The 22,388-nt window shown below is 37.3% G+C and overlaps 1 protein-coding gene and 1 pseudogene across 6 annotated transcripts in view; one reads left to right on the top strand and one right to left on the bottom strand.

Annotated features, from left to right (window-relative positions):
- Positions 1-22,388, bottom strand: part of ROCK2 (Rho associated coiled-coil containing protein kinase 2) — a 165,679-nt gene that overhangs the window by 107,551 nt on the left and 35,740 nt on the right. For 5 of the 6 annotated variants that reach the window (NM_001321643.2, XM_011510417.3, NM_004850.5 and 2 more), the window contains exon 2: positions 346-427. Coding sequence is in view for 3 of the 6 variants with exons in the window: in NM_004850.5 (NP_004841.2) it covers positions 346-427 (82 nt within the window). In the remaining 3 variants the exon portion in view is untranslated. Of the gene's footprint in view, positions 1-345; positions 428-1,040; positions 1,060-22,388 lie in introns of those variants that run through there. The other variant, XM_017005379.3, reaches the window with a different exon arrangement.
- AIDAP1 (AIDA pseudogene 1) lies at positions 20,557-21,829 on the top strand (annotated as a pseudogene).

Below are 22,388 nucleotides of genomic sequence, written 5' to 3' on the forward strand. Positions count from 1 at the left end.
GAAGTATAAAGCTTATTAATTCTCTGGGCAATATTAAGTCTTGGAATTGTAAATATTAATTTAAAACTTCTCTTCAAACTGCTATAAATAACCTGTCCTAAAATAGTCTTAATAATGTATTTCAAAATTTAGAACTTTATCTGCTTTGCATATTGTAATTCGGTTCTGCAATTGCTTTAAAAATAAAAGTAACAATTTTTGAATAAATCAAATGGTAAGCAAAAGACTTAAGTTTAATAAATAAGTTGATTAAATTAATAAATTTATAGGCTGATAATAACCAAACAAAAATCTCTTATCAAAAGTAGAGTTATAAGATCAAATATGAAGTTTAAACATACTTACATCTATTTAAGAAATTATCTATGTTCTTGTTTTTCCTCAAAGCAGGAAAATCTAAATCAAGGACCAAGGAATTTAAGCCATCCTGTTAAGAAATAAAAAGAGGAAATGACAGTTTTTACAATTTCCAAGCATTCATTTAAAAAAGTCTTTTAATTTTATTTATGTCATTTTCACCAGGAAAATGCCAACCCACTTTGATATGATAGTGTCCATAAGTTCCATATCCAACAGCTTTAACTGGTTTCCTAACCTCTGTCAGAGAATATTAGGACTGCCCCTATCATGTTTTCCTGTGTTCTTTCGGCCAATGGAAAAATGTAATTTCAAAACATGTATCTATTATTATTTTTGCTAGACAGATGTCTTCTTTTCTCTCTTCAAATGGCCAAATTTCATCAGGTTTTGACTTCAAGAAATACAGCTACACTAAGTTCCCTCTCATTAAACCTGCATTAATGTTGTGCCTAGTGCAGATTAAGAAGAGAAAATCCAAAAATAAATAACACCATCCTTACCCTCTGGGAGCTCAGTCTCAAAACTAAATTTCCTCTTAAAACAACAACAAAAGGATGATGCATTGTCTGGATTTCTATTTTTTCTTTACATTTCTGTATTTCCCATATTTTCTACAGTGAACATGCATTAAAACAGAAAAAAACTATATACACATAATGGTGGAGGTGAAAAAAACTCACCAGAAAGTAATTAAGTCTCAGATTACTCAATGGAAATGCTTGTGAAGGTAGCACGATTTCTAAAACACTATCACATACATTGTCTCAACGCCAAGTAACTCTGTGGAAGGTAGGAGGAAACATCCTCAATTTAAAGACGAAGAAACAAATTAAGGCACAGAGAAATTACATGACTTTGATTTCCTCAGGGTCATGATGTTAGGAAATGACAGTAGCAGCATACAACCTAAATCTTAGGAGGTCCAATAGACTTAACTCATCCCTCTAGTCTCAATGATCAGACTGACACCCTGCTAAAAGAAACAATGGGAGCCTGGGAGGGTAAACAGGGAAGCTAGAGGATTGCAGAAAACGAAACAGCAGTAAAAATAAACCTTTAGGGGACTTGGATAGGGGGAAAACATGGGGAAAATTACACAGAAAATTTAGAAAGGTAATCCAGGTGGGTGTGGCAGCACACACCTGTAATCCCAGCTACTTGGGAGGCTAAGGCAGGAGGATCACTTGAGCCCAGGAGTTCCAGACCAACGTGGGCAACACAGTGACACCCTGTCTCTGAAAAAAAATTTTTCTTTAGAAAGGTAATTAATCTACTAATCCTAGAATAACTGTACATACTATGCTTGCCACTCAGTTATAGTTCATATTTTTAATTTTCATTCACTAAAAAATGTTAACACTTTGTGAAAATATTATTTAATAACAGAAAGGGGCAAAGGTGTTAAGAGTAAACTATTAACATTTTTAATAACAAAATGATTTATATCCCACTGATATCTAATACAGATACAAAGCAATCTTCATTCTCTTCAACTAAAAGAAAAAAATACATTTTAAAAAATCCAACTTCCAGGTAAGCTGGGATTGTTAAATTCACACATTGAGACATACCCTCCCACACACATACACATAAACAACATCACACACACACTCCTCCAAAACAGCTGGACTACTTTTCAAGGATTCTAACATTTGAGCATATTAGGCTATTTTTAAGTACCAAATCAATGTATCTTTATTAGTATAATTTTGATATTTCAGTAAGTTTAAAATGTAAAATCTGAATCATTTATATTTTAGATGTATCTAGACTTATACTCTGTATTACAATTTCAAATCAAAGAAAAGTATATTCATATGGAAAGCATTCTTCCATGCTTCCATTTACCTCCACGAGAAGAAAAAGAAGAAAAATATAAATTGACAAGGAAAAGGCTTCTATTGCAACAGTAAATCTTCCTCAGAGATTTTTCAAACAGATAGAATATTAACACTTCATACTGAAATAAAAGTAACTCTGCATTAAAATCTCCATTTACACATAAGACAAGAGAAGCCTTTCTTTGAAGCAACACTACAACTTGACATTAATAAAAGAATGAAATCCTTGCTCCCCCGTATCTTCCCCAAAAGTTCTCTCCAAGAGATGGGATTATGTGAAGATTAACTAATCTGGAAAGTTTATAAATATTTTCCCATAAGATTCCCCAGTAGAATAGGGTCAGAGAGCTTTTTCAGCATTTGGAACATCTGAACATTTGCTCAACTCAACCATCTTGTTTATAAAACCATTTTTTAAAGACCAAACACTATCACAATTAGGCACTATTATTTTTACGTAGCATCAATTTTTAATGATACTATGATACTTTAATGTAGGTTGATAACATATACATTTATAAACTTACATTCTTACTTGAGGCCTTTACGTTTATAATTTTTACAATCAAAATTTATTCTACTTAGTATCACCTTTTAAGAAAAAAATTCTGAATTGTTTTCAGATAACAGTGTTTTAAGTATATGAAATTAATACTGAGATCCAGTCACTGGGCAAGCTGAGTTAGCTCAGGACTTGATTGAAAGCCCATGTCTGTGACCTTCCTTGTTATGCAGTTTCAAATAAACTTTCATAAGTTTTAAGTGTCAGTGATTTCAACTGTGATTATTTTCTTTAAGTGACCCTAAACCAGACACAGTGGCACACCCCTGTAATCCCAGCTACTCGGGAAGCTGAAGTGGGAGGACTGCTTGAGCCCAGGAGTTCAAGAGCAGCCTGGGCAACACAGCAAGACCCCATCTCATTTTTTTTAAAAATGATACTAAAACTGAGATAAAGAAATGCTAAAAAGAAATACAAATAAATTCAGGAAAAGACTACAACCAAAATTTTAAAGCAATGAAGAAAACGATCTGCCTGTTTCCAACCGTACAGAAATGACAGGAGAACATTTGAAAATGACAGCCCCACTGAGACTAAACAAAACACTACCACCAATAACTGACCAGAAAGAAAAATGCCAAGCAATGGGTACGTGCTAAAAGTCACAGAGGTCTATTGGATTTCAGGTCAGAAAGCAGCAAGATCAATGACTGATAATTAAAAGGGCCTAAATGAGGTGAGGAGTTAAAACCAGACTGATTACGAGAAAATCAGTACCCGGAGTGAAAATCCCCACTCCTAAAATAAGACACTGGAGGGAAAAACAACAACAACATCTTATTGCCCAAGTTTCATATGAATCTGCATCACTAGATAGGTCAGACACAGCTTTCAATCAAGCCTTGGTCTATGCCCCCGGCTAGCCCAGTTACATCTCTAAGGTTACCAGCTGAGAAACGTGAATTAGCTCCAATGCAGAAACTAACTTAGGTTGTCTATATGCAAAAAGCATGAGAGAAAGGCAGGGAGAAAAATGTGTTATCCTACTGTATTTTTTAAAAAAACATGTATAAGCCAAACACCCAGTTTCCCCTACTATAATTATTATGAGGGAAAAAATACATATACATAAAATGGTCTATTTTTCTAACTTTTCCTGAACACAGAGCCTTTTATACTTCAGTTGTCAAGAAATGAAGTATTGAACTTGATTTCACTTTCACTGTACACTGCTTCTTAGTATCTTATTGTTGTTGGCCAGGTGCAGTGGCTCATGCCTGTAATCCCAGCACTTTGGGAGGCCGAGGCGGGCGCATCGCCTGAGGCCACGAGTTCGAGACCATCCTGGCTAACACGGTGAAACCCCATCTCTACCAAAAATACAAAAATTAGCCGCGCGTGGTGGCGCAAGCCTGTGATCCCAGCTACTCGAGAGGCTGAGACAGGAGAATCGCTTGAACCCAGGGGGCGGAAGTTGCAGCGAGCGGAGGATCGCGCCACTGCACTCCAGCCTGAGCGACAGACCAAGACTCTGTCTTAAAAAAAAAACTAATTGTTGTTAAACATCCAAATAAAATGCTTCAAAAAAATAAAAATAAAAGGAGATTGGAAATACTCTGCCAACCTGGAAAGTCTAAATTGATAAGCAATATGATGGAGATACCCTCTTAGGAATTTCAATTGCTAAATGAGGCACAAATTATCCTTTAGCTGAAAATTTTATACATTTATGAGTTGTCAGCACATATGTAGTATTTAAAGCTATAAAACTGGGTAAGATCACCAGAGGACTGATTATAGATAAACAGAAAAGAATCAAGTACAGAGTCCTGGGATGCATCAATATTAAGAAACAAGGGAGAAGAGGGGACTAAAAAGGAACAACCATTTTTTTGAGGAGGGAAATCAAGACCATCATGGCATCTTAGAAGCCAGATGAAGAGTGCAGGAAGAGGGACAGAATGATAGACAAATGACAGACTATGATAGTTAATCTGACTGGTAAATCAACCTTATTGAGGACTGTGAATTTAGTAACTCAGAGGTTAGCAGTAACTTTTCTAAAGGCTATTTGGATTACAAGTTTATTATTTCTAAATCACTGTTCACCACTTTCTTAGTACTACTATTTTAAATACCGTATTAAAAAAAAAGTCCATATTCATAGACTGTAAATAATACCTAGCATTCAGCATGACCACAAATTATGTCTTATTCTTTACAGCCTACCTACCAAAAACTTTAACTACATTATACAGGTTAATACAGCATATATTATTAACAGGGACCTTTCTTGATTACTTTGCACCATGTATTGTGCAAAGCACTATACATGCATTTAACATTTTATTCCTCACAGCATATAAGTTAATACTATTGTCATACCTACATTAGTAGGCACAGAAACTGAAGCTTAAAGGTTAAAAGGTTAAAAAATGTGTCCAAGCCAGAATAGCTTATATGTAACAGAATTAAAATTTTATGATGCTCTTATAAACAATATTGAACTTAAAAGTTAATAAAATAATAAACTTAATTAGTAAAATTATTCCTCTAAAAGAATACTAAATAACAAACAAGTTTTAAAGTCAAGACAACCAAAGAAACAGTTAGTTACAGAGCATAGGAAGCATATTTCTGTGTATCTGCTGTACAGATTAGTGACCAGGAAATGTTATTTAAATGAATTTGTAACACATTTCCTCTGTTTGCTATTTCAACTCCAAACACAAATACATAACTAAAATAGTTGATATGGTTTGGATTTTTGTGTCCCTGTCCAAATCTCATGTCAAATTGTAATCCCCAATGTTGGAGGAGGGGCTTGGTGGGAGGTGATTGGATCACAGGGTAAGACTTTTCCCTGTTGTCATGATAGTGAGTGAGTACTCAGGAGATCTGGTTTAGAAGTGTGTAGCACCTCCCCCTTCTCCCTCTTCCTCCTTTCCCAGCCATGTAAGATATGCCTGCTTCCCTTTGCTTTCTGTCATGATTATAAGTTTCCTGAGGCCTCTCCAGCCACGCTTCCTGTACAGCCTAGGGAACTGTGAGTCAGTTAAACCTCTTTTCTTTATAAATTACCCAGTCTCAGGGTAATGAGCCAACAAATACACAGATGTGTTTTATAAAGAGATAATAAAGTAAAGGAAGTCTAGAAGTTAAGAAACCTGGGTTACATCATCACGGTTCTGCCATTTAGTGGCAACTTAAATTGAGGACGGCTAAGTCAACTTAATTGAGGACTGAGAATTTAGCAACTCAGAGGTTAGCAGTAACTTTGAGGAGAAAAACTTAATAGAGGAAAAGATAAAATTGTGTGACCCTACACAAGTAATTTCACCCAACTTCTAGGGCCCTCGTTTGTAAAAAAGAGTTCATAGCCTATAAAATCATTCTGGTGAGCAGTTCTTTAAAAATTGGCTATTTAAATAGTTAAAGCAAGGCCTGGCATAGGGAAAGAAACTTTCCTAGGGCAAAAGACAGGAGCAATAGGAATGTTTTTATGACTTTTCCTTGAGCCTCAGGCTCTAACATGGCTCAGCATGGCAAGATAGGACCAGTATTATTAATTTTTCCTTTTTGCCTCACATGCCAATATGGCTTGGCACAGTACTCTTCCTGATTTTGCCTTTCTTTAAAATTTTGAGTTTGATATTCTGTTCATAGTGAGTCTTTGCATTAATTTTTAAAATATTACATTAAAATATCTTGATTACTGTGGCTTTTTAGGGTTCTCCCTCAAATTTTGTTCCAAGTGCCTGAATGGCTTCACCCTAACCTCAGCCGTGGTCCTAAAAAGAGAATGAACCTTTACAATGAGAGAGGCATTAACGATAGCATATTCTGATTTTAAAAGAACGTACGGGCCAGGCGCGGTGGCTCACACCTGTAATCCCAGCACTCTGGGAGGCCGAGGCGGGAGGATCGTGAGGTCAGGAGATCGAGACCATCCTGGCTAACACAGTGAAACTTGTCTCTACTAAAAATACAAAAAATTAGCCAGGCATGGTGGCGGGCGCCTGTAGTCCCAGCTACTTGGAAGGCTGAGGCAGGAGAATGGCGTGAACCCGGGAGGTGGAGCTTGCAGTGAGCCGAGATCGTGCCACTGCACTCCAGCCTGGGTGACAGAGTGAGACTCCCGTCTCAAAAAAAAATTTAAAAAAAAGTAAGACAAAGAGAGAGAGAAAGAAAAGAAAGGAAAGAAAGGAAAGAGCAAAAAATCACATTATTGATTTGATCAAGGTTTTAGAAGAATTAAATGTAAAGTTGGTAATTGTTCTAATGGTGATAGTGCTCTGTGCTGATAATAAAGCAGCTGCTATTGCAGAGTTCTTGGATAGACATGATGCCAAACACTTTATATAACATCTCCTTATTTAATTTTCCTAACAGACTGTGGAATTATATGGTGTTAATTATATGGTGTTAATTATATGGTGGAATTATATGGTGTTAATTATACAGTCTTAATATCACCATATTTTTTAGTTGAAATTTGGCTTGGAGAACTTAAACCATTTCCCAGAACTGCACAGCTTAGAAGCATTAAGGTTGGTATTGGGCCCAATGCTGCTTTGAATAATTATTGGTATTTTTTAAATTAAATTCTGATTTTTTTCTTCTAAAATATTAAGTTGATGGGAAGATATGAATCAAATTGCATTCATAATGTAATACATTGTTTTATTATTTTATTTGTGTAATACATAATGTAACATATTGTTTAGAAACACATGAATAAAATTAAGATCAAATTATATTTGTATTACTATTTTTCTTTTTTGAGACAGAGCCTTGCTCTGTTGCCCAGGCTGGAGTGCAGTGCCATGATGTCAGCTCACCGCAACCTCCACCTCCACCTCCTCCTCCACCTCAAGTGATTCTTGTGTCTCAGCCTCCAGAGGAGCTGGGACTACAGGCGCATACCACTATGCCCGGCTACTTTTTTGTATTTTTAGTAGAGACGGGGTTTCATCATGTTGCCCAGGTTGGTCTCGAACTCCTGAACTCAGGTGATCCACCCGCCTTGGCCTCCCAAAGTGCTAGGATTACAGGTGTGAGCCACTGTGCCCAGCCTGCATTACTAGATTTCTTATGGCTTATAAATCAACAATTTTATCTTTTCCTCTATTAAAAAAAGCTTCTCTCCTCAAAAATTACATACAATGTTACCTGAAACTCCCTATAAAACAGAAAACAGGCAATTTACACACCTATTATAAAATATTAGAAAAAGTAATGCATCATCTGACTGAATCCTATTCTTAATTTAATATTGGTATTCAACTGAGAAACTACTGGCCAGATAAAATTAGAGTTGTTATTCTGATTGTAGGCAAGTTAGACTTTTTAAAAAGTATTTTCCATATTTGAAACTTGTACAGTTAAGTATCACAGATAGACTTTAGGGCAAAAAAAAAAAATCTCATCCAGGATATAACACATACATGCAAGAAAAATACCCCCAAAAGGCCTGCTGGTTTTATGTTTTATTAATTTTCCTATTTGGTGCTCACAGTACACAGAATAATTATATGGCTTCAATATTTTGATATTCATAATATCGTTCAGCAGCAGTACTTTAAATACACTGATGGCAGGATCTGTTTATATAGTGCTCCATTACAGATACTCCAGGGAAGACCAGACTACCTTAAGAGAAGGCCTGGCATGATGGCTCACGCCTGTAATCCCAACTATTTGGGAGGCCAAGGAGGGTGGATCACCTGAGGTCAGGAGTTTGACACCTGCCTGGCCAACATGGTGAAACCCCGTCTCTACTAAAAATACAAAGATTAGCCAGGCGTGGTGGTACACGCCTGTAATCCCAGCTACTTGGAAGGCCGAGGCAGGACAATCACTTAAACCCAAGAGGCGGAGCTTGCAGTGAGCCGAGATCGCGCCACTGCACTCCAGCCTGGGTGACAGAGCGAGATTCCATCTCAAAAAACAAAAGAGAGAGAGAGAGAGAGAGAGAGGAGAGAGAGAGAGAGGAGAGAGAGAGAGAGAGAGAGAGAGAGAGAGAGAGAGAGAGAGAGAAAACAAAGGGTCTCAAAGCAGAATAACCTACACTTCATGGACATTTTGGAGCTGAAGGGGCAAGATGGTGGAGGAACAACTTTTCCTATAAAGTCTATCTAGTAACTAAGAATGCTGGAGATGACAATGGCCAACTAAATTACAAAGCAACATTTGTCTGTAAAATATTTGTGGATATACAGTTAAGTAGATAGATAGCTAAGCTACTCTGAATATAGAGCTATTCCAGTATTTCTTAAATTTTGAAAAGATACAACAAACAGATAAAGTTTTGTTTATTAGAAGGTAAAACAGTTTGGTCATATTCACACTTAATGACAAGAAACAGTCTTCCCAGCCTGTTTCTAGTCAATTGTCAATTAAATAAACAGAACCTTCTTTTTCATTTATAACAAGAAGTTTGTCTATATGGTTTCCACCCCTAAGAACCTAAATATAGAAAATTATTTTTCTACAATTGTGAAGTTAAATTTCTGCTTCATCTCCAAACAATATCACTCAATAAATGTTAGCTATTATTACCACTATTTTCAATATCACCTAAATACACACTATGCATTTAAAGATTACGTAATTTAGGATATGGAGAGTTGGAAGGTTTTTACACTTTAACGTCTAAACCTATTAGCACATTTTTTATACTAACAGAACCAAAAACAGTTCCATCACTAACATAATGTGTTCCATAAAGAAAATTATTTTACTCCTTTAAATCTCATTTTTGACATCTATGCAATACAACATTTAAGTCTCAGGGCTAGTGTGACAACTAATGAAAGACTGTGATGCCAAATGAAACAAAGGTTAGGTACTAGTCACTGTAACTCCTTTTGTTATGAATGTACTTATGTTTTAATCAATTTTAAAAGCTCTTTCACTGCCAAGTAATTTTCAGTCTTATTTTAAGTTTATACAGCTTAACATTTTATTTAAGACAGTTAAAATCTGGGAAAGATTAGATATAACACAAAAGTGCTTGGAGCAACATTATTTATAATAGCAAGAAACTCAAAGCAACCTAAAAATCTGGAACAGAAAAACTAAGTAAATTTTACTAAAGCTTGTCAAAGTTATATTAACCAATCATTAAAAATAGTTGTTACAAAGACTAGGTAGGAATTAGTATTTTTAAAAAATTAATGTTTAAAAAGTGCAGAATAAAAATTAAATGTATAATAATTCTACTTAAGGGAATTATGTATATGAAATTTTTGAATGGAAAGCAAAAAATACAATAACTATCATACCATGATGAAATTATATCATTTTATTCTTTTCCTAAGTTTTTTGTGGTGAAATTTGTATTAATAACTCATAATAAAATATAGCAAATCTAAGTAAACAAGATCTAAGGTATTACAGAAGACAGTCTTAATACATTTAGACCTTTTAAAAAATTACTCATTTATTATCTATAGCTCCATATCTCTACTAAAACAGATGCTATTTTAAATCCCAATGCATTTCACTATTCGCCGCCTCCTATAAGTCATATGTTGTTTTTTTTTCTCTCTCTTCTCTGAACTGGGATCTTAACAGGGATTAATAGGTTAATTTGAGAAAAACTAACTTTTTTTTCCCATCCAAGAACAAGGTAGGTCTCTCCATCTATTTCTTTCAGCAAAGTGATAAACACATCTATTCTAAATACATGTTGTTAAGTCTATATGCTAAGTATTTTACCTTTTTGTGGCTATTACCACATTATATTAGGTCAGCCATGTGGAGGACACAGAGCTCTCTGAGTACCTTTATGAACAAAATTTTTTCAAGTTTCTGATAGAAATGTTCAAAATATCCCATTTCTTTCTAATTAATGATGTTTAAACATACATTAGGTAATTAAAAGCAAATGTAATTTCCCTAAAACTGTTAAAAACTTGTACATAAAAATAAAAATTTCATGAAAAACATAGGTGGGGTGGTGATTAGAAGGTCAGGATAAGGGGACATTCTGGAAAATTCTGTTTCTTGACCTAGCTGCTGATTATATGGGTTCTCAGATTGTAAAAATTTATCAAGCTGTATACATACAATGTACATACTTTTCTGTGAGGGTATATATAGACATATATTTACAAAGAATGTTTTGGGTGCATTGGATAATAATGAACTTACTGACAACATAAAAATAGCACAGGAGGCCAGGCACAGTGGCCTGTAATCCCAACACTTTGGGAGGCCGTGGCAGGCAAATTACCTGAGGTCAGGAGTTCGAGACCAGCCTGACCAACATTGTGAAACCCTGTCTCCACTAAAAATACAAAAATTAGCCGGGCATGGTGGTGCTAGCCTATAGTCCCAGCTACTTGGGAGGCTGAGGCAGGAGCATCACTTGAGCCTGGGAGGCAGAGGCTGCAGTGAGCCAAGATCGTGCCACTCCACTCCAGCCTGAACAACAGAGTGAGACTCCATCTCAAAAAAAAAAAAAAAAAAAAAAACCACACACAGGGGCAAATGAACTTTAAAACCTGTTTGCCATCATTGTGCTTAGACATTTTCACATACCTTTTCTAATATATTGTATCTTCTCAATCAGGGAGGACATATGAGTAGGAAACTCATCCTCAAGTCTGCTACATTTCAATGAAAACTTTTTATTACAGAGACTTATCCTCCAAACACTTTCAAAGCTTATTTGTGTTCAAAGTGCTGGGAGGGAGCAGGTTATGAGAAGTCACACGACTTTATACTTTGGATCCCATCTTCCAAAAGATGTTTCTCATAACCCTTAAAAACAAGTCAGCAATTTTGAGTGAGAAGAGGAGAGCTGCCCTGCTGGAGAATCTGAGATGGAATTAAAGGAATTTCAAACACAAAACTATCTTTCCCTATTGTCAGAATTTGATATATCACTATAGTTATTATAAATATGTTTTAAAACTACAGAGATTTAAAAATCTCATTTTATATTCCACATTAAAAAATCGCTGGAGGCCGGGCACGGTGGCTCACACCTGTAATCACAGCACTTTGGGAGACCCAGGCGGGCAGATCATGAAGTCAGGAGTTTGAGGCCAGCCTGACCAACATGGCTAAACTCTGTCTCTACTAAAAAAAAAAAATACAAAAATTAGCCGGGTGTGGTGGCACGCACCTGTAATCCCAGCTACTCAGGAGGCTGAGGCAGGAGAATCGCTTGAACCTGGGAGGCGGAGGTTGCAGTGAGCCGAGATTGCACCACTGCACTCCAGCCTGGGCGACAGAGCAAGACTCCATCTCAAAAAAAAAAAAAAATCACTGGAAATACCCCAAGATCAAATCATTATACCCACAGACATCATCTTCAATTTTCCAGTCAAATATTAATCAAATCTAAACAATGAACTTTTTAAGGCACAACCAAGTACTTTTATAAAAAACCAAGTTCACATGAAAAATCAAAGGGCAAAAATGTGTGCCCACAGATCACATTAGGAAATTAACATTTACTGAGTTCATACTATGTGCAAAAGAAAGTCACTCGCTCATTCAATTCTCGTAAAAGTTCCACTAGAAAAAAAAAAATGGAGAAGTGTTTTGAGGCAGAGCCACTTAGGGATACAGCAGAGGCAGAAGCTGCAACCAGGAGCAGGTCTTTCTGCTATTCATATAACTACCACTAAGAACCACGAAAGAACACAGCAAGAAGAAAATAGTTGTTGATGGTTGTTTTAAAGGACGCACGCTTCTCTTTTCTTCTTCTAACTACATTTGTAACTATGCAGAACGAGTAGCCAACCTAATTTTCATGGAAAAGTAAAAATGTTCTTCTCAACAGAAACCAGAGAAGCAAGGCACAACTCATCCTTACCCAGGAGGCAACAGTTCTTTCATACCTCTCAGGAAACTTTTTTAAGTAAACACTTTTTAAAAATCAGAAAACATTTTAACAACCTTTTAAATATCTATCCTGTCTCTCTTTTGTCCACTCTATGTGCCCTCCCCTATAAAGAATGATGAGCAAGTCTCGGAAAGCGAATCTAATTCACAGTTTTTGGGGTCTATTTCATATTTTGGTAGCCTATAAATCCTTATTTGTCAGAGAAAAGGTCCCATTGATGAAACAATTTGATAACTAATAGGTAAATCTACAGTTTCTAAAGGCTAATTACCAACTAGACCATTTCATCCATAAATCTGCATATTGCTCCTTCATTTCTGGCAATAACAGCACCTTAAGTAGGAATAATAATTTATCAACCAATTTAGATACACATTAGCAACTATGGTTTTTTTGGGTTTTTCTGAGACGGAGTTTCGCTCTTGTTGCCCAGGCTAGAGTGCAATGACGTGATCTCAGCTCAATGCAATCTCCGCCCTCCCAGGTTCAAGAGATTCTCCTGCCTCAGCCTCCCAACTAGCTGGGATTACAGGCACCCGCCACCACGCCTGGCTTATTTTTGTACTTTTAGTAGAGATGGGTTTTCACCATGTTGACTAGGCTGGTCTCGAACTCCAGACCTCAGGTGATCCACCTGCCTTGGCCTCCCAAAGTGCTGGGATTACAGGCATGAGCCACCACACCCGGCCAACAACTATGGTTTAAAAGAAATACAAAATTACTCAAAGACACAACCTAAATTGCCACAAATAGCCATAATTTTTCTTACACTCAAAATGGAAAGGCAATAAAGTCAACAAAAATCTAGACTTTATTCTTTGAACCATCTTGTAGGCTTAATAACCCTGTTTCTACAAAATAGTACACTGTGATCCAGTACCCTTATTTCCAAGTATCCACCAGATACCCAAAAGACCCAAGAAGTCTCCTAAGTTGAGTGGACCTACTCAATGAGAGTGTAAAATGATCTACTAAGGTGCAAAAAAAAAAGTTGTATCATTGGTGAGCAGAATTAGAAAGTGAGTATTGTGATTTAGTAACTACAGCCACTAACGTATTATGCTTCTTCCATTTGTATCTATACCTCCTTGTGAAATTTCAGGAGGAAAAAAAACTTATGATAGTTCTCAAAACCTGGTAGCAAAATAAACTGAACTTAGAACCTAATCTTCAAATCACTGCAACAACATTAAACAAAAATTGTAAAAAGCAATAAAGCATATGTCATTTAGTGGGGAAAGAAAAAGTTTGTACCATTAATAAAGTAATATTTATAACAATCTTATGTTTATAAAATTATACTTTAAAAACTCCTCTTTTATGTATATTTTGTAATTTACATGTTTTAATACTATAGTCCATGTATACAAATTATAAATAAAATATATTTGGAGATATTCTCAAAAATTTTTCAATGATGGGATACAAGATTAAAACTTCAGAGGTCATAAATTCCTTAAAGGTAAGGAATTTTTTATCTTCCTTAAAGGTAAAAACTTATTTTCTATATTCCAGTCATAGTGTATATACTCAAAAAACTGTTGTGTAAATAGCCAGCATCTTAGTATCAACATAACCAAAATTAAATTAGGCATCTTCTCATTCAAATCTTACCTACTCTGCTGGGCGCGGTGGCTCATGGCTGTAATCCCAGCACTTTGGGAGGCTGAGGCAGGCAGATCACCTGATGTCAGGGGTTTGAGACTAGCCTGGCCTACATGGTGAAACCCCATCTCTACTAAAAATACAAAAAATTAGCCAAGCGTGGTGGCAGGTGCCTGTAATTTCAGCTACTTGGGAGGCTGAGGGAGGAGAATCGCTTGAACCTGGGAGGTAGAGGTTGCAGTGGGCCAAGATCGCGCCATTGCACTCCAGCCTGGGCAACAAGAGTGAAACGCCGCCTCAAAAAAAAAAAAAAAAAAATCTTACCTACTCTACATCTAATAAGCAACGCCATTCTATGTAAGTCAGGTTTAGAATTCCTTTCCCTTGCCCCTTACTTCAAGTCATTCCCTCTGTATAAGTCATTCTGAGACGGAGTTTCGCTCAGCCTCCCAACTAGCTGGGATTACAGGCACCCACCACCACGCCCTGCTTATTTTTGTACTTTTAGTAGAGATGGGTTTTCACCATGTTGACTAGGCTGGTCTCGAATTCCAGACCACAGGTGATCCACCTGCCTTGGCCTCCCAAAGTGCTGGGATTACAGGCGTGAGCCACCACGCCCGGCCAGCAACTATGGTTTAAAAGAAATAACAAAATTTCTCCATTATGGTTTCAGATTCACATTATTTCTTACCTACTAACTTGTTTCCCTGCCTCTAATCTCCCTCTGCTCCAGTACATCTCCATTCTACTGCTGAGTAATCTTTCTGAAACATAAAGCTATACATTTCATGCTCTTCTTAATATTCAAATTTGTTGGGGTGGGGTGTTTTTTTGTTGTTGTTTTTTTTTTCTTTTGAGACGGAGTCTCACTCTGTCGCCCAGGCTGGAGTGCAGTGGTATGGTCTGGCTCATTGCAACCTCCGCAAGTGATTCTCTTCCCTCAGCCTCCCAAGTAGCTGGGATTACAGGCACCCCTAACATTATTCCATACCTTCCAAATGCCTAGAAAATCAAGTCTAAACTAGCATTTGGAATACTTTGCCCCATCGACCTTCTCCAATCTGACTTCCCACTATTTACGACCCTTCTTTCACATTTGCTCTAGATTTGTATTGTCCCATAGAGAAGGCACTAGTTACATCTGGCTACCAAGCACCTGAAATGTGGTTAGCTTGAACTGAGATGCTCTGGTAAATGTAAAATACACATTGGATTTCAAAGACTTAGTACTAATAAGAATATGAAATAACTGTTTTAATAACTCGTTAATAATTTTAAAATATTGATTACATGTTAAAATAATACTTTGTTATACTGGGTTAAATGAAATATTTATTGAAATTAATTTCATCTGTTTCCCTCCACCTTTTAAAATGAGGCTCCTGGGAAATTTTAAATTATATATGTGGCTCACATTATATATCTATTGAACAGTATCCACTGGAAAGTTTGGACCACCCAAACTTTCACCTTTCACCTTGGTCTTTCTACTTCCATCACTTTCCTCACAGTCTTTCACCACAGAACATTCAACACTCATTCATTTGCTGAGGGGTAGCCATGTACCAAGGCTGAGTGCTAAGCATTAAAATAAAAAAATTAAAAAGTTAAAGTTCTTCAGTCATGTCTACTTGTTCAAATTTTTATCTATTCTTCAAAGATTAGTTCAGATAAAACTTATTTCTGTGAAATCTTCAGGATCCTCCAGGATAAAAATCTCTCCTTCCTAACTCCTACACATTACATGTTCTTCAAAGAAGATGTCACTTTGTCCTTATAAAAGTTATTTTTGTACACAGCTTATCTCACATCTATTAGCTGTAAATTCCTCAAGTGCAGAATTCTTCAAATCTTGCTTCTTACCTCACTGAGAACTTGTACAAGCCTTCATCACCAAATCTATCCACGTTCCTGCATCTGTGCCCACACATTTTACTTTCTTTCCTGCTATTATGGATGTACAGTCCTAGCTACAGCTAATCCCTCCACCTACACACTAAATCTCCCATTCCCTCTTGCTCATTAACACCACAACAGCAATTCTCCCATGATCTCTTCATTTCTTCTCGCCGCCTTCTCTACTTGATTACTGCCATTGGCATGGAAACATGTTGTTATTTCTCTTACCCTTAAGAAAAAATCCCTTGACCCTACCTCCCATACAGCTGCCATTTCAATCTTTTTCTTTACAGAAAAATTTCTTGGAAGAAATACCTATTCTAGCTGTCTTAAGTTTTTCTCCTCCCATTCCCTTTACAATTCACTACAATCAGATCTCCCCCGACTAACAGCCATCATCACACTCCTAAACTTTTCTTTTCAAGCTTATCAGTGACCTACATGTTGCTAATCCAATGATCATGTCTCAGTTCACATCTTACTTGACCTATAAACATCTTTAGACAGTCCTTCACTATTTTTTTCAAAATAACAGGTCAAAGTTTGGTCAGGACTGCCTTGCCCTATTATTTTCAAAAACTTGAAAACTTTTTCTACTTTGCTTTGATGAAAACCCATTTAAATCGTTTATCACATATTTCTCTGGTTGCCCTTTCTTAGTATACTTTATTGGTTTTCTCCTGTCTTTGGGCCTCCTCTCTCAAATTCACTCACTCCCTCGAACTCCATCTTGTCTTGCGTCTTTAAATATGTGCTGATGGCTCCTAAATTCATTATCTCTATTCCAACTAAAATCCTGAATTCAAGACCCATATATCTATTTGCTATTCATCAGCTTTTTCTGAATGTCTAGTAAGTATTTCAAACAATAATGTCCAAAACTATGCCCTACCCCTTCCTTTTCCTACTACAACCACTTCCCTCCTTCAGTCTTTCACATCTCCATTCATGCCAATTCCATCCTTGCAAATACTGAGGCCAATAATGTTAATATTCAAATCTGACTGCTTTTTCTCTCAAGAGCCCAAATCCTAACACTTACAAATCTGGTCAAGACTGCCTTCAAAATGAATCCAGAACTCCACCAGATTTCACCACCTTTACAAATCACCAACATTTTGCTGGAATCATTGCAAATGTCTACCATTAGGTCTTCTTGCTTCCAACTTTGCCTTCTCTCTCTTCTTAGAATATTTTCAATGGAACTCAGAGAATGATGCTGTCACTCCTCTGTTCAAAACCTCCAACGGCTTCCCATTTCATTGAGAGTAAAGCACAATTCCCAGCCTTTGAGTCTATCATCTGCTCGCATCCACCTAGTTATTAACTCTCAAACCTCACCTCCCATTACTTTCTGTCTCACTCACTGTGCTTCTGCCACACTGGCCTTCTAAACGTTTCGAAATCACAACCGGTACCCTACACAAGAAGTAGGAATGGTGTAGGAAGGTAGCTCAGTGGCAGACAGGGCACTAACAAGTAGGGAAAACTGAGCAGCACCACAGTTTTACAGGGTTGGGAGACTGACTAAATATGAGGAATTCAGCCAATTAGTTACTATGTAATAACCGAACTAGGCTCATACTAATGATAGAATAAATACAAATATGGGGGAGGAGGGTTGGGCACACTACAATGAACTCATGGTGTTGAGCTGGAACTAGATTGTATCAATATGAATTAACAGATTTCATTATATAAAAGATACAGGGGGCCAGGTGTGGTGGCTCATGCCTGTAATCCCAACACTTTGGGAGGCTGAGGAGGGTGGAACAACTGAGGTCAGGAGTTCGAGACCAGCCTGGCCAGCATGGCGAAACCCTGTCTTTACTAAAAATACAAAAATTAGCTGGGCATGGTGGCGCACGCCTGTAGTCCCAACTACTCGGGAGGCTGAGACAAGAGAATTGCTTGAACCCGGGAGGCAGAAGTTGCAGTGAGCAGAGATCATGCCACTACACTCCAGCCCGGACAACAGAGCGAGACTCCGTCTCAAAAATAAAGTTAAAAAAAATAAAGATGGATATAGAAATATAGATGTAGATAAATGTCTGTGTGGGTGTACACACACACACACACACACACACACACACACACTTACGTGCATGCACATGCTTCCTGGATGTGACCACTGAAAGGGCCTGGTGTACAATAGATACTCCCATAGCAATGAGCTCATCTAGCACTCAGATCTTGGTTTTAAAATACTACTCTTCACTAAAAGGAACTAGGGCTCCTTGCAGAAATAGCTGATTCTAAGGCTGGAGTAGGAAAATGATAAGATGAGCTTGTAGCATCTTGTGCCAAAAAGGAAGGAAGTGCACAGGTGATAAAATGGCATAGAGCTATACATACACAATGTATCAATGTCAATGTCCTCGTTTTGAGAATAAACTATAGTTATGTAAGATATAAACACTATGGGAAATGGGGTACACAGGACCATTCTGTACTATTTTTGCAAAGTTACTGTGAATTTATAATTATTTCAAGAAAAAAGTTTAAAAATAAGTAAAGAAGTGTACAAGGACTGATGGTGACTTGTCAAGAGGACACATAAGCCAGTATGAAAGGGCTCCCAGTGGCAAATCTGGAACAATTTCTACAAAATAAATGGCTTGTAATCATCAAAACTGTCAAGAGCATGAGAGTCAAGACTGGGGAACTGTTCCAGATTGAAAGAGATTCGAGAGCCATGAGAGTTGGATGAATATATGATCCTGGGTCAGATTCTTTTGCTATGAAGAACATTATTTGGACAGTTGACAAATCAAATGTTTTGTGTATGCAGTAAGTTTATAAAATTGTTTCAAAATAAGAAGTTTTTTAAAAACCACAAAAGGCATGTTCCTGACTCAGGGACTTTGGACTCACTATTTCCTTCTGTCAGAAAAGCTCACACCCATATAACTGCACCAGTTGGTGGTAGCTCTCCACCAAGTCTTCACTTAAAAGTAACCTTTTCTGGGAGAACTTATTATAATATGTAAACTTTAAAAGTTCTATATTTCGCATTATCTTTGTTTTACCTTCTTTCTCCTTACCACTTATCACTATCCTACAAACAATTAAATTATTATCTAGCTCCTTATTAAAATGCAAACTGATAGGCAGGAATATTTTATCTGCTTTGTTCACTGCCTAAACCAGTGGTTGGCATGCCGTAGTTACTAAATATTCATTAAATGACTGAGTGTACATAAAATCCTTTAAACACAAGGGATTTAAGAATCAATTGCAAAATAAGTTCACTTTCTCAATCAAAGCAAAGGAATACAGAAACAGGTAAAAGAACTCCGCTGTTAACTTGATAGCTCCGGGATATCATTTCAACAAATATGTCTACAGCATAAATGGATGAGCTAATGTCCTTGCCCAAAGGAGCTTAGTGAACAAACCTATTTCCATCAGCAAGCAAAGCCATAATACTGCAGCCAGCTAATACAGCAAGAAAATACCTACCAACACCATGTGGGAAATACAGTATAAACAATCCAAATGCTGACAGAGAGGAATTAACTATAGCAGACCTGCTTGAAAAATATGGGAAGATACAGAAAGCAGGTTTTCTTGGGGGAAAAAAGAATGACGCCAAACTAATATTCTAATAAAGTCAGTGGTATAAACCAAAAGACATATGTAACTGAGGTCTCGATATTTCATTACCACGTTTCCTTGAAAAACTACCGAGGCTATAATTACACTAACAACAATGGTTTCAATTAATTTACAGTATTATAAAACGTACTGAATGGTTTGTACTTTAAAAAGTATAATTCAAAAATCTAAAGATGATCTTATGGTTTCTACACATGAAGTAGTCAAATCAGTAGCATCCCATTTTATAAATACTTTTTTCTCCTGTGTACCAGGTAATGAAGCTGACCTTCCTTTCTTGCATAATTGTCACCAAAATGACAGAAAACATTATCTTTTTGTTTATTTGTTTCTGAGACGGAGTCTCACTCTGTCACCAGGCTGGAGTGCAGTGGTGCGATCTCAGCTCACTGCAACCTCCGCCTCCCAGGTTCAAGCAATTCTCCTGCCTCAGCCTCCCGAGTAGCTGGGACTACAGGCGCATGCCACCACACCCAGCTAATTTTTGTATTTTTGGTAGAGATGGAGTTTCACCATGATGTCCAGGATGGTCTCGATCTCTTGACCTCGTGATCCGCCCGCCTCAGCCTCCCCAAGTGCTGGTATTACAGGCGTTAGCCACCGCACCCAGCCAGAAAACATTATCTTAAAGAGACTTCTAAATAACAAATATATCTGAATCTAAACCAACACTTCTGAAAATGAAACATACCAAAAAGACTGTATATAGTCAGCCCTCCATATCCACGGTTTCTGAATCCACTGATTCAACAATCAGAACTGAAAATATTCAGGAAAAAAACCAACAGATTGTTGCATATGTACTGAACATACACAGACTTTTTTCCTTGTCATTAGTCCCTAAACAATACAATATAACAACTATCGGCGAAAAATGGGCTTGGGCGGCTCCTCGGTGGGTGGCGGTGGTGGCCGTAGCGGTCCTCCTGGCCCTGTTAATGTCAGGGCCAGGCCTGGGAAGGATGGCGCCCTAGAACCCGGCCTTGCTGGGGTAGGGGCAGGAGGGGACGGGGTGGGGACCAGCCATGTCAGAGGTGACCCGGAGTCTGCTGCAGCGCTGGGGCGCCAGTTTTAGGAGAGGCGCCGACTGCGACTCTTGGGGCCAGCTGGTGGAGGCGATAGACAAGTATCAGATATTAGCAAGACATCTACAAAAAGAGGCCCAAGCTCAACACAATAATTCTGAATTCACAGAAGAAAGAAAACCACAGGCAAAATTGCAACATGCTTAGAATTGCGAAGTACAGCTTTACAGTCCACACAGTCTCAAGAAGAATTTAAATTGGAGAACCTGAAGAAGCTAGAACCAATCCTAAAGAATATTCTTACATATAATAAAGAATTCCCATTTGATGTTTAGCCTGTCCCATTAAGAAGAATTTTGGCACCTGGTGAAGAAGAGAATTTGGAATCTGAAGAAGATGAAGAAGAGGGTGGTGCTGGAGCAGGGTCTCCTGATTCTTTTCCTGCTAGAGTTCCCGGTACTTTCTTACCAAGGTTGCCACTGGAACCAGGAATGACATTACTCACTATCAGAATTGAGAAAACTGGTTTGAAAGATGCTGGGCAGTGCATCAATCCCTATATTACAGTTAGTGTAAAGGATCTGAATGGCATAGACTTAACTCCTGTGCAAGATACTCCTGTGGCTTCAAGAAAAGAAGATACATATGTTCATTTTAATGTGGACATTGAGCTCCAGAAGCATGTTGAAAAATTAACCAAAGGTGCAGCTATCTTCTTTGAATTCAAACACTACAAGCCTAAAAAAAGGTTTACCAGCACCAAGTGTTTTGCTTTCATGGAGATGGATGAAATTAAACTTGGGCCAAATGTAATAGAACTATACAAGAAACCCACTGACTTTAAAAGAAAGCAATTGCAATTATTGACCAAGAAACCACTTTATCTTCATCTACATCAAACTTTGCACAAGGAATGATCCTGACATGATGAACCTGGAACTTCTGTGAATTTTACCACTCAGTAGAAACCATCATAGCTCTGTGTAGCGTATTCACCCTTCAACAGGCAGGAAGCAAGCCGTACCCAGACCAGTAGGCCGGAGGGAGTCCAATGCAAAGCTGTACCACAAAATTCAAAGTCCAGCACATCACTGATGTATAGGACTCCTTTGGATACAGGTTTATTGTAGCTTTTGAAACATGTTTTACTTTCTATTAAAAAAAAAAAAACTACCGGCATAGTATTTACATTGTATTAGGCATTATAAGTAATCTAGAAATGATTTAAAGTATACAGGAGGATGGGCACACGTTATATGAAAACACTACACCATTTTATATAAGGGACTTGAGCAAGGATGGATTTTGGTATCCTCTAGAGGTCCTAGAACCAGTCTCCCACAGACTTCGAGGAATGACTGTATATGTACGCGTGTGTGCATATGCAGTATACACAAAATAAAGATGGTTTGATTTAATTGAGCTTATACACGACTCCCACCCATCTTACAACCTAACTGGTTCTTTGATAATGACTGAAATTTAAATTTGTAAATAAAATTTGAATTTCCAATAGAAACAGTATTGCAAATTAGGGTTCTATACCTAGAAAGTTATTTCAGTCCCCATCTCCACCAAAAAATTGTTTTAAAAATCACAAAAATGAGTATATGAAATATAAAAATGTAGTTTAATGTTCCTAATATGAAACCAATCAATTACTGTATTACATC

The sequence above is a fragment of the Homo sapiens genome, chromosome 2, assembly GCF_000001405.40.
Source record: "Homo sapiens chromosome 2, GRCh38.p14 Primary Assembly".
Lineage (NCBI taxonomy): Eukaryota > Metazoa > Chordata > Mammalia > Primates > Hominidae > Homo > Homo sapiens.